Source organism: Homo sapiens, chromosome 10, assembly GCF_000001405.40.
Source record: "Homo sapiens chromosome 10, GRCh38.p14 Primary Assembly".
NCBI classification, from domain to species: Eukaryota; Metazoa; Chordata; class Mammalia; order Primates; family Hominidae; genus Homo; species Homo sapiens.
The window spans coordinates 82,921,512-82,937,336 of record NC_000010.11 but is presented as its reverse complement, the minus strand read 5'-3'; the positions used below and the strand labels follow the sequence as shown (position 1 = coordinate 82,937,336).

The 15,825-nt window shown below is 38.8% G+C and overlaps 1 protein-coding gene across 26 annotated transcripts in view; it reads right to left on the bottom strand.

Annotated features, from left to right (window-relative positions):
* The window catches only part of NRG3 (neuregulin 3), a 1,111,986-nt gene that overhangs the window by 49,843 nt on the left and 1,046,318 nt on the right, over positions 1 to 15,825 (bottom strand). The window contains exon 1 of one of the 26 annotated variants that reach the window (XM_011539178.3): positions 6,580 to 6,849. The exons of 24 other annotated variants lie outside the window; for them this stretch is intronic. In XM_011539178.3, coding sequence (XP_011537480.1) covers positions 6,580 to 6,604 — 25 coding nt within the window. In that variant the 5' untranslated portion in view covers positions 6,605 to 6,849. Of the gene's footprint in view, positions 1 to 6,579; positions 6,850 to 15,825 lie in introns of those variants that run through there. One more of the 26 variants, XM_047424513.1, reaches the window with a different exon arrangement.

Genomic DNA, 15,825 nt, shown 5'->3' with positions numbered 1-15,825 from the left:
ATCATAATATCTGCCTACTGGGTCACTGGAAGATTAAATGAGATGCTTTGTACCATGCATTTACTGAGCACAGTGTCTGGCTCACTTCCAGTGTTAATAAAATATAATTGGTTTCTACTATATTATTACCATTATTTTAATATATCATAGAACCCATTGTAAAAACTGAATTTGAGAGGTAACATGTAAACTATTTGAAAACAATTTCCAATTCCTCAAGTGCATAAGAAAAATGAAGAATTAAAAGAGTGTTGTAGTCAAACTCATTAGTTTCAGGTACAGAGTCATACTGATGCTCCACGAATCATAATAATGATAGTCACAGCAATAATAAATATATAATCTCTTTTATAAATATCAGTGCTGATAATATTCAACTTAATTCATTTTAACTTGATTTTTCAAAGATTTATCTTAAGGATATATGTAAACTACAGATGGAAATCCAATAGCATGGCTCACCCCTCTTCTTGGAGATTTTGTTATCCCTGCCCCTCCACTGCCTGCTTTGTAACCTACTCCTATGTTTAACAGTTGTCTTCCTCTACTTGCTCATAGTGTCTTTTTAATTTTTTTAAATATATTTACTTATTTTTAAATTGACATATGAAATTATATGTGTTTATTGTGTACAATGTTTTGAAGTATATATACATTGTGGAATGGTTAAATCGAGCTGATTAACAAACACATTACCTCACATGGTTATCATTTTTGTGGGGAAAAGACTGAATATACACTCTATGGGCATTTTTCAACAATACAAAATATCATCATTGACTATAGCTGCCCTGCTGCACAATAGGTCTCTTGAACTTATTCCTTCTATCCAACTGCAGATATGTATTATTTGACCAACATCTCCCCGACCCCATCTTCCCCCTAAACCCTATGGCCTCTCATAACCATCATTCTATTCTCAATTTCCATGAGAACAGCTTTTTTTAGATTCCATATATCATGTGGTATTTGTCTTGCTTTGCCTGGCTTATTTTACTTAATAATGTCTTCAGTTTCACCCATGCTCATGGTTTCTAGTTCCCCTGGAATCTGACTTGCACATGGTCTTGCTGAACCACATCTCTTACTTCACCTAAGAATATCCTTTCATTACTGTCCATGTTGTGAAACATCACAATCTTTTATTTTTTCAAAATTCAAATTCCTGCCCTTTACAATAAACTTTAAAGGTTAATACATAACAAAAATGCATAATTCATAAATTTACACTGTGAGAAAATTTTACAAAATGAACACACATAGGTACTCAATGCTCAGACCAAGAAATGGAATATGATCCATACCCCTGTATACACTGCTTCCTAATTACTAGCCACCTTCTCTACCCATGTAACTATTAAACTGACATCTAATACCAAAAGCTAGTTGTATCTATTTTTGATCTTTATGTAAATAGAATCATACCATATGTTCTTTATATGTCTAGATTTTTTTTTTTTGCTCAGTATTATGTTATAAGATTCAATATGTTGTTGCAGGTAGCTATGGCTCATTTATCATTGTTTCTATTAAAAATAAAAAAAAATTATCCAGGCGTGGTGGCACGCACCTGTAGTCCCAGCTACATGGGAGGTTGAGACAGGAGAATCGCTTGAACCCAGGAGGCAGAGGTTTCAGTTAGCTGAGATCGCGCCACTGCACTCTGCACTCCAGCCTGGGTGACAGAGCGAGACTCCGTTTAAAAAAAAAGAGAAAAATAATAACATAGAATTACTGTTATCATTTTTTGCTATTATAAATAATAGATTACCTGTTTTCTAAAACTTGTAATAAGTCATGGGCGTTGTTTATGTTAGTGCTCATAGGTCTATCTCATCCTTTTAAGTGGCTGCAGAATATTCTGTCATATGGTAAAGTCATATGGACATTTATTTTATTTCTACTATTGCCTAACTATAATCACTGTTGAGATAAAGAGCCTTGTGTACTTGTGGTAAGTACATTTTAAATAGAATACTGATCATCTGTAAGGTGTGTGGAAAAGACAACAAAGAAAGAAAGAAGAAATCATATGAAAGAAATGAAATAAAATGCCTCTGAGTAACTAGGAGTTCTAGAGACGATCTCGTTCTTCCCCATTCTGATATTTGGCATTTCTCAGACTAACAGCTCTCCCAATCTTGACCTTGTACAAATCTTGTTGATAAACCTTACCTATACAAAAAGTGCAAGTCAGCATTCTCCAGCAAAGAAGAGGTCTAACTGGCAAATATATTGATGTATTCAGTGACAGAGATTACCCCCAGGTATCCTTAATTCACAGATATGAATGGAAAATCCTGATTCACCAGGTCTTTGAAGAAAATCTTAGTGATAAGTTCCCAGAGTAAGGCATGAAGTGTTTATATAAATAGGCCTCTAGGATGGACCTTAAAAGTATCCATAAAAAAAATATTGGCCTGTTTTACAAACCCACGGTATGGTGATTTCCAGCATTTAATGTTGGACATTGTGGTCCACTGAAAAGTTTGTAAGTGCTAAGTTCAGAAAGATTTGAGTCAAGTGATACTTTTGACATTTAAAAATTGTGCGCCTTTTAAGCCTCATCTCTTTTACCTAAACAGAGGGCAGGAGGAGTTAATTACTGATACACAATAATTATATACTGCAGTTATCCATTTCCTTACCAGATAAGTTAGGATGCTAGATGAGAAACAAGTTGTCATCCAGCAGTGAGAGCAATTTGGTTCCTACTCTGTAGTGACACCAACAGGCGTTTGGTGATAAGTGTGCCTCAGCAGCCAGTGCTCTACAGGATCTAAGGATGATGGACTTAGTACCCAGAGATAAGAACAATCATAGTTCAAGAGAGGCAGAAGCAATAGAGGTGTCTGCTACTCCAATAATTAGTAAAAGCAGCAAATCTCTGGAAGATAAATGCAGAAGCAAGACAATCCATACATGACCCACAAGGTGATTGGAGGATACGGTTACAGCTGAACTGAATAGAATTTTAAGGTCTCTGGGGACTTCTCAAGTCTCTACTGTGTCTATGTAGACAACCTCCAATTATAAAAAGTATGTAGAGTATTTAAGTTTACTTTATGTCCTAACCGCATTATGGCAATAGTTCTTGTGACAGCAATTGTACCCAGACAGCTGTAGAGATTGCTGTTTTTTCTACATGCCCATTCATGTTTAGAGAAAAGTGAATCTCTTTTGGCATCATAAGCTGCATTAAGTCTATCTTTTATTTTGTATTTCTGATTCTTTGATATCTGGTTCTTCCTGACCCTGAAGGAATTTCCCCTCTCAGGACTAACCAGTTCCTAGAGATAGAAAATAAATTGCCCGAGCACACACTTTTCAAATAAAAACCAACCCAATCCAGAGCCCAGACCCCCATTTACCTCCTTTTTTGGGATTCCATACTCAAGACCATTATCTTTTCAATGGCAATCATTTCATGATCAGTTGGCCTTACCACATCTCAAAATTTCTGTTAATACACTCTATTTTAGAACATGGGATATTGAAATAAGTATTTCAAAACGATCATATGCCATGCTAAAAATGTATTAATATTTAAAAATTTTGAAAATATATCTCCTTTCCAACACAAAAGAGGTGCTTAGATCAATCTTTCAATGCAACTCACAGGACTAAGTCATAAAGATTTCACCACTAATAGAATTAAAATGTAAGATTAGCATAACGTTACCATCTACATTTATTGGGTTCCCTGATGCATCTGACATTAGAAACTGTTCTAGGATTATACTTTGGCTATAAAGACGAATGAGGCACAATTACACAACTTCTGCAATCTAGCTGGCGAATGGACACAAAATAAATAGGAAATAGTGTGGTAGGTGTTAATGAACTACGAGCAAATTGGAATTCAAATATAATGGGGTAGGATAGAGGATAATTTGCCCATACCTGAGACTTGGGAAGTGACAAAGAAGGCCTCAGAGAAGACATTAGGAACAGTTGCCTGAGTGGTTGTGCAGCAGAGGTACAACCATACTTCTTTCTACTTGTGACAATGACTTAGGGCAATGTAAGAAACCCAGCTTATGCCACATGCTTACTTCCCAAGATCCAGATGCAAATAAATAAATAAATAAATAAATAAAAGCCACAGTCCTACTCACTCTGTCAACACAAGTTGACTGTCGGATGAGATTCCCAGGAACTGGAGAGAAATGCCTCTACTGCTGCCTGGACTACAGGGTTGTGAAGGCTCCTATGCTGCTCAGCTTTCAAGGAGCTCAAAATCTGAGAAAATTTGCTGCTTCCATATGTGAGTTAGCTAAGAATCTTTTTTCACTTGAATCATGACTCATTTAAAGATTTCTGGAAGAAGAATAAAGAGGGAGAGAAGAAGGGAAAGAAGAGAAGAGAAGAAAGGCGAGTGAAGAACAGATTGGAAAAGGAGAGTTAGAAAGGAAGGGAGAAGATAAGACTGGATATCAAGGGGAAAGGAGGAGAAGGGAGAGGAGGAAGAAACCGTCATTTACTGCCTGTGTGTCTTCATCCTGGATCACCCTATTTGCTGATGACCACAAGGTCTCTGACGAGTGACCTTCCTCCTCTTTAGAAGATTGAAATGTAACAGAGCTGCACTTCTCTCATTTAGAGAATGTGATTTGTTCAGTTTGTGTAAAAAGCCATGCAGGGCAGGGATCTCAGGGAGTGCCAGACGCTCCACTGTGAGCTTGCAGGAGAGAAGCAGTCAGTGTTTCCGGAATCATCTGATCCTGCTGAGTTGGATGCTGGCCACAGAGAGCCCCAGTCAGAGGTGGAAAGATCCAACATGTTCTTTATGCCATCCACATACACTACTAGCTCAGGGTGGTGGCAAACCCAGCTATCAAGTCTGCATACTCAAATTGGTACCTTACCAATGCCCAAATTAAGAGAACATTCAATTAAAGAGCCCAATAACTTCTAGCATAACATTATGACATCCGAACAATTGTTAACATATCTTGCTTGAATTTATGGAAAGAATAAAAACAGGTGACATCTCAATCACCCTAAATTGAATTTACTCAATTTGTATTGTTGCTGTTAGAGACATTAATGAAGGTGAGGGTAATGTGAACTATGGTGTGTAGCGGTGAGGTCAGAATTGCAAAGTAAGAAGGCTGTCCTACGGAATCCTAAATTTCAAACAGCCGCCATAGAGAGGAAAACAAAGTACTGGCCACAGAATGAAACCTGTCGGAAAGCAGGTGAAGGAATGGAGAGAAGGAGATGGAACTTGGAGTGCTGCTGCAGAAGATTTGGGGATGCTGCACAAGATCCCTGTGGTCCTTCCCATGGGCAGGTGGGAGCTAAGACTGTAAACTGTTCAAGGCAAATATCCAGGGATGATCCTATAGGCCAGATAAGGTAGAAGAATTTTATCTTCATTTCACAAATGAAGAAACAAAAGCTCAAAGAGGCTAAACGATGTATGAGGAAAATACCTGGGACTCAAACACATGCTGTAACTCCAGATTGCCATAAATGTTTGCTCTTTTCCTAATCTTTTCCCCACACCTGAGGAAGCTGAAAGGGATATCATTCATCCTCCCTCTTGCACTCAGACGGCAGACTGCAGGAGACTCCCGTGCAAACCAAAACTGAGCAAAACTAGAAACATAAACACAGAAAGTGTTTTATTAAAAAACAACAACAAAGCAAAACAAAAAAGCCCTAACAATAACCTTGGCCCTCAAGGACCTCAAAATCCAATAGAAGAGTCAATGAAGGTTTCAAAATGCAATGAACGAAGTTTCAGGAGAGAAATGAAAACTAGAAGGAGAAGTGAGGATATAGGAATTTCCACTATTGAATATTTAATAATTCTGTGGCAGGTACTCTGAGGAACATATAATTAACTTCTTTGTGCTCTTTTCTGAGGTCTGAAGATCCCAAGACAGCTTCCCAAGGTTATATACTCAGAAGGTGAAAGGTAGAGGCAAGATTCCAACCCAAATTGTGTCTGGCTCCAAAGTTCAAGCATGTCTTGCTTCATTACCTCCTTCATTAACATTTATTTAACCTTGAAGTCAGATGGAAAGTATCTCAAAAATAAATTTATTTTATCAATAAAGGATGGATGAATATGTAAATAAAGTTGGTAAGCTTTCTATTCCTGCTGATGGAGTAAATGGGTGATATGAAGGAAATTGGATCGGGCATGGCTCCCAAATTTCTAGTATAGACAAAAATTGGATAGTATTGGTACTGCAAGAGGGAGCAGAACAAAGCAGTTAGTGGAGGGGATGTGTGCAGTGGCTGCTTGTCCTTCATGCCCTGGGCCTGTCTTAACCTGTGAGTCTTTCTTTTTGCCATCGCCTCCTATACTCTGCTCCAGGCTCCTGTCAGTGCATCCTGCTGTCACTTCCAAATGACAGTACATTTTGTTCCTTCTGCCTGGAAAGGCCTCCCTGCTTCTCTCAATCCATCCACCAAACTATAAGCATGTCATTTAGACCTAAGATTTTCATGAAGAGGAAGTTTTCTGTCATCCCCCACCACCCACCACGAGTCCCATAGATGGGGTTCCCAGTATGAGCTTCTAGGAAAGCCAGTGAAAGTAACCTCCATTGGATCAAGTGTCACCTTGTGTTGCAATCACTCCACTCATTTTTTATCTTCACTTTGATCTGCAAGCACCTTGGCAGTTTTGCTGACTGTTTTGTTCCTATACCCTAAAAGAAAATATGGAAAAAACTATATAACATAAATGCACCCAGACTGAACTCTAAACTGGCACACACAATAGAGACATCTAAGAAATTAAGACCATGTGTTCCTGAACATCCAGACAATATACACAATCAAGTATCTTGGGGACCCAGTTAAGGCATATTATCCACCCTATTGCTGGGTTTGTTCACATCCGAAAAGGCACTCAAAAGTCATTAGACTGAGATCCCCTTGCAATTCTCAGTATCTCTGAAGTTTATCGTTATCCCTGAAGTGTCTCTGAAGACAGATAGTCCTGTTTATAAATTCTATTAATTAAATATCCCTTCTTAAATTCCACCACTATGCTAACCATAGTAGGTACGTCATAGCATAACATATTCTATGTCACAAATATTACCAGCTACACTGCAAATAAATTGCCACACAAGGGGAAACTGTGAATAAAAAACTGGTGTGCAGGTTCTAACAACAGTACTGAGGACATCTAAAGGACACTCCCATCTCTCTTCTTTCTTTTAATGCCTCGTGCTACTCACACATGTTATTACCTTGAGAAAAAGTTCACAAAGTGACACTCCTGGATGAACCCAACAATTATGAACGATCTAAAGCCACAGGGAAGCTCATGTACCTAAGGAAGAAATGGGCAGATATTCTGGATGCTCTATTGCCACTACAAGTTTAGGCAACCCAGCAGGGGGGTCTGCGAGAACTAAAAGCCCATCAAAATCCCTCTTTGTGTTGTATATTATAAAGATTCATTTTTTTTCTTTTTCCTTTTTTTTTTTTTTTGAGATGGAGTCTCGGTCTGTCTCCCAGGCTGGAGTGCAGTGGCACAATCTCGGCTCACTGCAACCTCTGCCTCCCACCTTCAAGCAATTCTCCTGCCTCAGCCACCATAGCTGTGATTACAGGTGCCAACCACCATGCCTGGCTAATTTTTGTATTTTTAGTAGACATGGGGTTTCACCACATTGGCTGGTATTGAACTCCTGACCTCAAGTGATCCTCTTGCCTCGGCCTCCCAAAGTGCTGGGATTACAGGGGTGAGCCACTGCACATTTCTGTTGGAATCAAATGCTACACTGATCAAGTGAACAAGTAGAAACCATCAGTCACCAAGGAAGACAAACTTGTTAAGAAAGAACAATTGCTGGAAGACTTAGTAGCTCATAGTTGGAATAAAATTTAACCAGTAAACACGTCCGCAGGCACTGTTTGCAGATCCTCTGCTCGGAAAGATAAATCTTATACCTGGGGATTGTTTTAAAATTTGCTTTCTGAAAGGTAAAACGGTACTTGCATCCCTTAGGACATAGAAATGACAGCCTAGTTTTAGATAGAGTGGCTCAAAGCACAACTTCATTTTAGGAGAGAACAACAGAGTTAAGACAGTTGTCAAAGCAGAAGATATTTCATGTTTCATACCATTCCTCCACCCCTACCATTAGCATGTGAGCATCTTACAGGGTTGGCAGAAGAGGACATTATAATTCGGATTCAGCAAATGTCTGTACCTAAGCAGATATGTGTGCTTTGTGTGATGAGAGTGCCATTCTCACCATTTCTAGGATAAAACGATCCATTTTAGAATACTAGAAATTTCTCCCAAATGCATGCATTTGTTGATGATTCTGAGACATTGGTTCTCCTATAGATAGTTCATGTTTTTCCTCCACTTAACAGACCATGAGTGTCTTGACAACAGTGGGACTCCCATGCAATTCGGTGAAATCCAGCCTTCTCAGATTAGTGAGCTATGCAATATAGGCAACAAAGGAACACAGATGTACAAAATGGGTATGGAGTGTGAGGGGGTGTGAGCACAGCATGGGTACACATGCACTGGGAAAGATCAGGCTCCACAGATTACAGCCCAGGGGCCAAACACAGCTGCTTTTGTAAATAAAGTTTTATTGGAGTACAGCCACATCTATTTGTTTGTATTGTCTATGGTTGCTTTTGTACTACAATAGCAGACTTGAGTAAAAGTCAACAAAGCCTAGATATTTACTCTTTGAACAAGTTTGAGATTTACTTTTAAAAAAAAAAAAACCTGCTGATCCCTGAAATAGATAAAAATAAATGGTGTTGGGAGAACTGGCTAGCCATATGCAGAAAAACTGAAACTGGACCCCTTCATTACACCTTATACAAAAATTAACTCAAGATGGATTAAAGACTTAAACTTAAGACCTAAAACTATAAAAACCCTAGAAGAAAACCTAGGCAATACCATCCAGGACATAGGCATGGGCAAAGACTTCATGACTAAAACACCAAAAGCAATGGCAGCAAAAGCCAAAATTGACAAATGGGATCTAACTAAACTAAAGAGCTTCTGCACAGCAAAATAAACTATCATCAGAGTGAACAGGCAACCTATAGAATGGGAAAAAATTTTTGCAATCTATCCATCTGACAAAGCACTAATATGCAGAATCTACAAATAACTTAAACAAATTTACAAGAAAAAAAAACCCATCAAAAAGTAGGCAAAGGATATGAACAGACACTCCTCAACAGAAGACATTTATATAGCCAGCAAACATATGAAAAAAAGCTCATCATCACTGGTCATTAGAGAAATGCAAATCAAAACTGCAATGAGATACAATCTCATACCAGTTAGAATGGCAATCATTAAAAAGTTAGGAAACAACAGATGCTGGAGAGGATATGGAGACACAGGAATGCTTTTACACTGTTGGTGGGAGTATAAATTAGTTCAACCATTGTGGATGACAGTGTGGTGATTCCTCAAGGATCTAGAAACAGAAATACCATTTGACCCAACCATCCCAGTACTGGGTATATAGCCAAAGGATTATAAATCACTCTACTATAAAGACACACGCACACGTATGTTTATTGCAGCACTGTTCACAATAGCAAAGACTTGGAACAAACCCAAATGCTCATCAATGATAGACTGCATAAAGAAAATGTGGCACATATACACTGTGGAATACTATGCAGCCATATGAAAGGATGAGTTCATGTCCTTTGCAGGGACATGGATGAAGCTGGAAACCATCATTCTCAGCAAACTAATACAGGAACAGAAAACCAAACAGCACATGCTCTCACTCATAAGTGGGAGTTGAACAATGAGAACACATGGACACAGGAAGGGGAACATCACACACCAGGGCCTGTCAGGGGGTGGGGGCCAGGGGAGGGATAGCATTAGGAGAAATAATGATGACAGGTTGATAGGTGCAGCAAACCACCATAGCCCGTGTATACCTATGTAACAAACCTGCATGTTCTACACATGTATCCCAGAACTTAAAGTAAAATAAAAAAATACATTCCATAAATAAAAATTATTTTGTCAGGGGATGTATAATAAAAATTTAAATAATGTCTCAAACTAATTTTTAAGTATTTTTTTGAATTGCCACAAGAATAATGTTAGTTCCTTTATTGTGCTGGGTAAATAAAGAGACTGTCAGGCTATGGAAGCCACCACCCTTCAGCACCAGCAAGGAGACAAGGCCTCTGCGGCACCTATGATTAGAGCTCTGTGCTGGGGATTCAACTTCTAAAGCCTTGCAGTCCGTGTTGGGGGTCCCTGAGCAAGGACAGATGGGCAGTCCTTTGAGCACTTCAGGTGGAAAAGCTCTGCTCAAGTAGTGATGGTGCTGAGGAACTGAGCCAGGGAGAGCCCTTCCCAGAAAACTAAACTGGAGACCAGAAGGATAACAAAGGTCAGTTAGAATTGGGGGAATGACCCAAAGATAAAGAAAATAAAGACAAAGAGACACAGTGCAGTTGAGACATGTTCAATGGATGTCCAATCCAAAGGCAGATCTACTGAGGATTATTCACATTTCAGGAGACAAGAACTGTTTTTATTCTGCTAGAATCACACTTTAATATTGCCACAGACTCTGTGAGAGAGGCCAGGCCTCAAAGTTAGAAACTTGTTAATTTTAATTACTTATTTTGCTCTTATTGCATTAATCAATGTCCCTGAATTTTGTTTTGTTTGTTGTAATCAAATGAGCTTAACACACAGAGAATGAAATGGGAAGAAATTTCTGTCAGGAAGTAATTACCCGGCATTACAAATTGTATTCAGGACAAGATGGCTCACCCAGAGAGATATAAAGGAAAATGGAATGACTTAAGGATGTGATAGATACTTCTTGGATGCTCAAGTGACTATCACTTTTTAGAAAGTTTTTATTTATTTGGTCACCAGAATATTCCCTAAGATAATTGGAGCTTGTAGTCCTCAGCTATAAAGCTAAGTGGTGGAACTTCATCACAATATAGCACAGTTGTCCCTGGATATGCTTGGGGATTGATTCCAGGATCCCCTGTAGATACCAAACTTGAAGGCTACTAAAGTCTCTTATACAACAAGGTGTGTTATTTGCCTATAGCCTACACATATCCTCCTATATACTTTCAATCATTCCTGAATTACTTATAATACCTAATACAATGCCTACACATCACTTCATTAGCGTGGATTTGATATATTTGGCATATGGCAAATTCAAGTTTCGTTTTTTGGAACTTGGTGGAGTTTTCTTTTCCAAATATTTTCTATCCATAGTTGGTTGAATCCATGGATGCAGAACCCATGGATATGGAGGACCAACTGTACTTTGGAGCCAATACTGTGCTTGAAATGAGGTGGATAAATGGCTTTTAGCTAAACCTTTAAAACAATCTCTCCCTGAATGATCTGCCTGACTGCTCAAATCCCCTAAAATGCATGGCAGCCTGCCCTGCTTGCCTTGCCATCGCTAGTTGCATTAGCCTGGGCAGGCTGCAAAAGGGGGTGTAGGGCAAGCCTCTCTCTGGGAAAGACTAAGGCAATAGGTCATCTTTCCAGTTTAAGCTGCTAGTTCTACACACATGGAGTTGCAGATATATGTATTCTCACTGCTCTGACCAAGCAAAGAAAGAGTGACTTTTCATAATGACTCACAGGCTATAAATAACTGTACCTACCTCTCTCTGTCATCATCTATGTATAAACCCTACGTAGATTGATTAAAAAATAATAACCCTTGGCAAAGGAGTCTTCCAGTTTTTCTGCTACTGGGAATTAAGAAGACAGGAGTAGCATTAAAGCATGCTTGTCCCTATTCTGCGAGGCCATGCCTCTGTGAAAAGGCCTCACAGACAACAACAATAGCAATGACAACTACAACATGAATATTTATGGAGCACTTAAAATACAAAGCTCTTTATAGGTGCAAAGTCATTTAGTCCTTTCAACAGTGCTGGGACCATTATTAACCCCAGTTGCACTTGAGAAGATTAGGGCACAGAGAAACTAAAGTATAAGTTCAAGTTCAAGAAAAAGTAAATGGTCACAGGCAGTCTGGCTCCAGAGGCCATGCTTTCAACCACCACATGTCATTGTTGCATAGCTAGAAAAGAAACACTGTCTTCCTGTACTTCTGTAACAGAAAATCAAACCAATAGTGTTGGAGAGGGGATGTGGTAGAGTAAAAAAGGCCATCCTCCTTGGAGTCAGTTTAAAGACCAATTCTAATTTGTACTAAGTAAACTAACTTTGAGGAATTCTTTGTCTTCCCCTAGTCTCAGGGCCCTCATCTGTAAAATGGGGGTGCTTATGTCTTCTGTACAGGGTTTTCGTGGCATAAAAATATGATGGATACAAAGTTTTCAGCATTGTGTCTGGCATGTGATGAGTAATCACTCCAAAAAGTCATGCTTTTCTTCTTTCTTCCTGCTCTGGTGATCTGGAAAGTATCAAGTCTCTTTTATCCCTATAATTATAGGAGACTTTTACTCTTATGTAACATGGAAAAAGCAATTACATGGATTGGCTGAACTGCTAAACAGCCAAGAATCTTCTTTTGAAAAGCTGGGGTGTCCATGATATCAAAGAACAGCTTGTACCCATCAAAATGCAGAGGATCATTGTCATGAAGCTTACTCCTACCTTCCAAGCTGCTGTGAGTTACAGTGAAGAAGCTTGAAATATGTAAAATCTTAATTACACTACCAGGTAGCTTTGAATGCTACTGGTCTAGAAGAAGGAAGGGATATTCTATGCTGTGTCAACCTACAATCTTTAAAAGCTTTTTTTTTTTTTTAATGTGAGATATTTGATTTCAGTACATAGAAGACTTCGAAAATCAGATATGGGCAAAACCAAACAGATAATATCATTGGAATGTGTCTGATTTGCTTCCTCTTCTGCCTTATGGTAGACCCACTGAATCCCAACTTCCTACCCCTTCCTCATTACCACCGCACAAACTGATGAGCCAATTCTGATCATGGCTTGGGAATGAATTATAATGGGGTTTGTAGAGAGGCACAGGGTAGTGGAGCATTTAGGGATACTTAGGCGATTGATTCATTGAACATCAAGTCCGCATAGTAATAGTTCGGTTCTGGTCTTGGGCTCTGCCTCTGAGGTCTCAGTGACAAACTCCCAATGCTCCTTTTGGGTTCTGGAAACCTAGGTCCCTGCCTTGACATTTGTTTAGTGCTTTCTGCCTTCTAGTGGAAAGAAACTGGAATCTTGCCAACAATTTTCTCTCACCATCTCTTTCTACCTTTTTTTTTTTTTTTTTTTTTTTGAGACAGTCTCGCTATGTTGCCCAGGCTGGAGTACACTGGCATGATCTCGGCTCACTGCCTCCTGGCTTCAAGCAATTCTCGTGTCTCAGCCTCCTGAGTAGCTGGGATGACAGGTGCCTGCCACCATGCCCAGCTAATTTTTGTATTTTTTAGTAGAGATGGGGTTTCACCATGTTGGCCAGGCTGGTCTTGAACTCCTAACCTCAAGCAACCCGCCCACCTGACCTCTGTGCCCGGCCCTCTCTCTACCTTTAACAAGTGCACATATGCGTGCACACACACACACAGGTAGAAGGAGGAGGGGGGAAAGGAGAGAGATCTTAATGTTCCACGATTTTTTGTCTTTTAAGGCCTGTTTTAACCTACTTAAACAAGAAAAAAAAAGCTTTCCTAATGCTAATTGCCTGATGTTCTGGTTATACAAATATTTCCATTTCTTTCTCTCCTGTTTTTAATACATACATTTGTATATTTACCAAATCATTTATTTATTCATGCATTAATAATTCAGGTATTTACAATTATTGATTGAGCAACACTATGTTGTCAGGTATCAAGTCAGGCATTAGAGGTAACTCTAACATGAACAGACATACTTCTTGCTCTCGCAGATTTTTCCAAGCTAGTAGAGGGTGGAGACAATGTACTGAGTGCAATGTGGGAACCTATAATAAGTACATAATCCAGGCTTTGGAGACAGGATTTGGAAGGCAGGGAAAGATATTTGTAAGAGGTAATACCTCTGATGATCCTGAAAGGAGAGTAGAGATTAGGTGGAGGATGAAAGATGAAAGCTTAGTTGGTAAGTGGAGAGAGGAACAGTAGGATGTTTCAGACACAGCAAACAGCATCTGTAGAACCCACAGTGGGAAAGAGAGCATGTAATATTAAAGAAACTTAAAGTCATTCAGCATAGGAGTCATACAATGGGCATGGCTGGGAGATTGCAGGAAGTGGCATGATCATCTTTGTATTTTAGAATGGCTTTGTTCTGTGGAGAATGGATTGGAAGGGGATGACCTTTGGTCAATATTAGTAAGCTGTTACAGTAGCTTTATTGTTTATCACATTTCCCTGCCGAGTCAAATGGCATTGAATACTCTGAGAGATGTTTAGGAACATTGGAATCAACTGGATTTGGGGATTGCAAGTCAGATGAGAGAGAGGAGGAGGTGTCAAAGATGACTCATACGATTGCAATTTGGTCAATGGATGGATGGTGATGTCATTCATCAGGAATAGGGGGATGGGACAATATGGAAGGAGGATGATAATTTCAACTTGGCTATGTTGAGTTTGAGGTGCTAGTGAGACAACTGAATGTAAAAAAGAAGTAACATGCCCTCTGGTTGGCACACTCTCACTATGGAGACCTTTCAGGGTCTCCTGCTCCTCAATATCTGTTCAAAACACTAAATACTAAGTGGAACCACATGTTTCTATGATGGCATCCTCCAGACAACACATTCCATTTGCAAAGTTGAGTGTCCTCTATCATCCACAGGTGCATCTAAACCTCCAGCGTCTGTTTATCAAGATGAGGGTGGGTCCTAGAAGGACCATGATATACAGGACCTGTAACTCATTCACAGGTGAAACAAACCAGTTCACAAAATTGATCTGATGCAAGAACCTGCTCCTGAAAGACAGACATAGGTAAAGAAATAGCCTTATCCTAAAAGGCACCAAAAAAGTTGGAAGAATTGAAATATTGGATCAATTCAGATGGTTTGAATGGCTCTGCCATTTCAATGCCATTCTATACTCTCAGGAGAAATAGGAAGTAAAACTTAAACAGTAAAACCTCCACGGGGCTGCCCGATGAGGAGTAAAATAGTTCAGAAAGACAGTTTCAAAACTGAAATTGTAGTTCTGTTCAGTGCATAGGGCTTGGTTAAAAAATATGTACATATATATATATAGAATATTATACATCCTCTTCCGGTTCTCTTCCCCCCAGTCTCTATATATATAGAGAGGTGGCGGGTGGTGGGGGTGGAGAAGACAATGTATAAAAGCTTATCTTTTAATGAAAAAATAAATTAATGAGTTCATACACGATAACAATGATTTATATTTATACTGAAATCTATATAGTTTACAAAATACTTTAATGTCCATGAAATTATTTAAATCTTTAAATAAGAATCTCAAAAACAGTTGCTACTTTCCAGATCATTTGATCATTCCTTAATAGGAATTCCACACAAACCTACATCATCAGCATTCAAAATATACTTTTGCCTCAACAAAACCACATTCTCTAAAGCTGAAATAATTATGTTGGGATGCAAAGAAGATGAAAAGTGAGTATCTTCACACCTGACTTGGTTGAGTACTGGTTGTTGAATTTTCTCACATATTTATTTCTTATAAAATTCAGGAAATAGAAGAAGCACAGAATTATTTTCAAAACAAGTAAACTGATGAAATAAATAATGGTTTACATGTTTTCTCTTTATTCTATTTGTAGTGTTTAAATATTTTATTTTAGAATAGTTTTAGGCTCACAGAATTATTGTGAAGATAGTAGAGAAATTTCACTTATATTCCATACCAAGTTTCACCTATCAA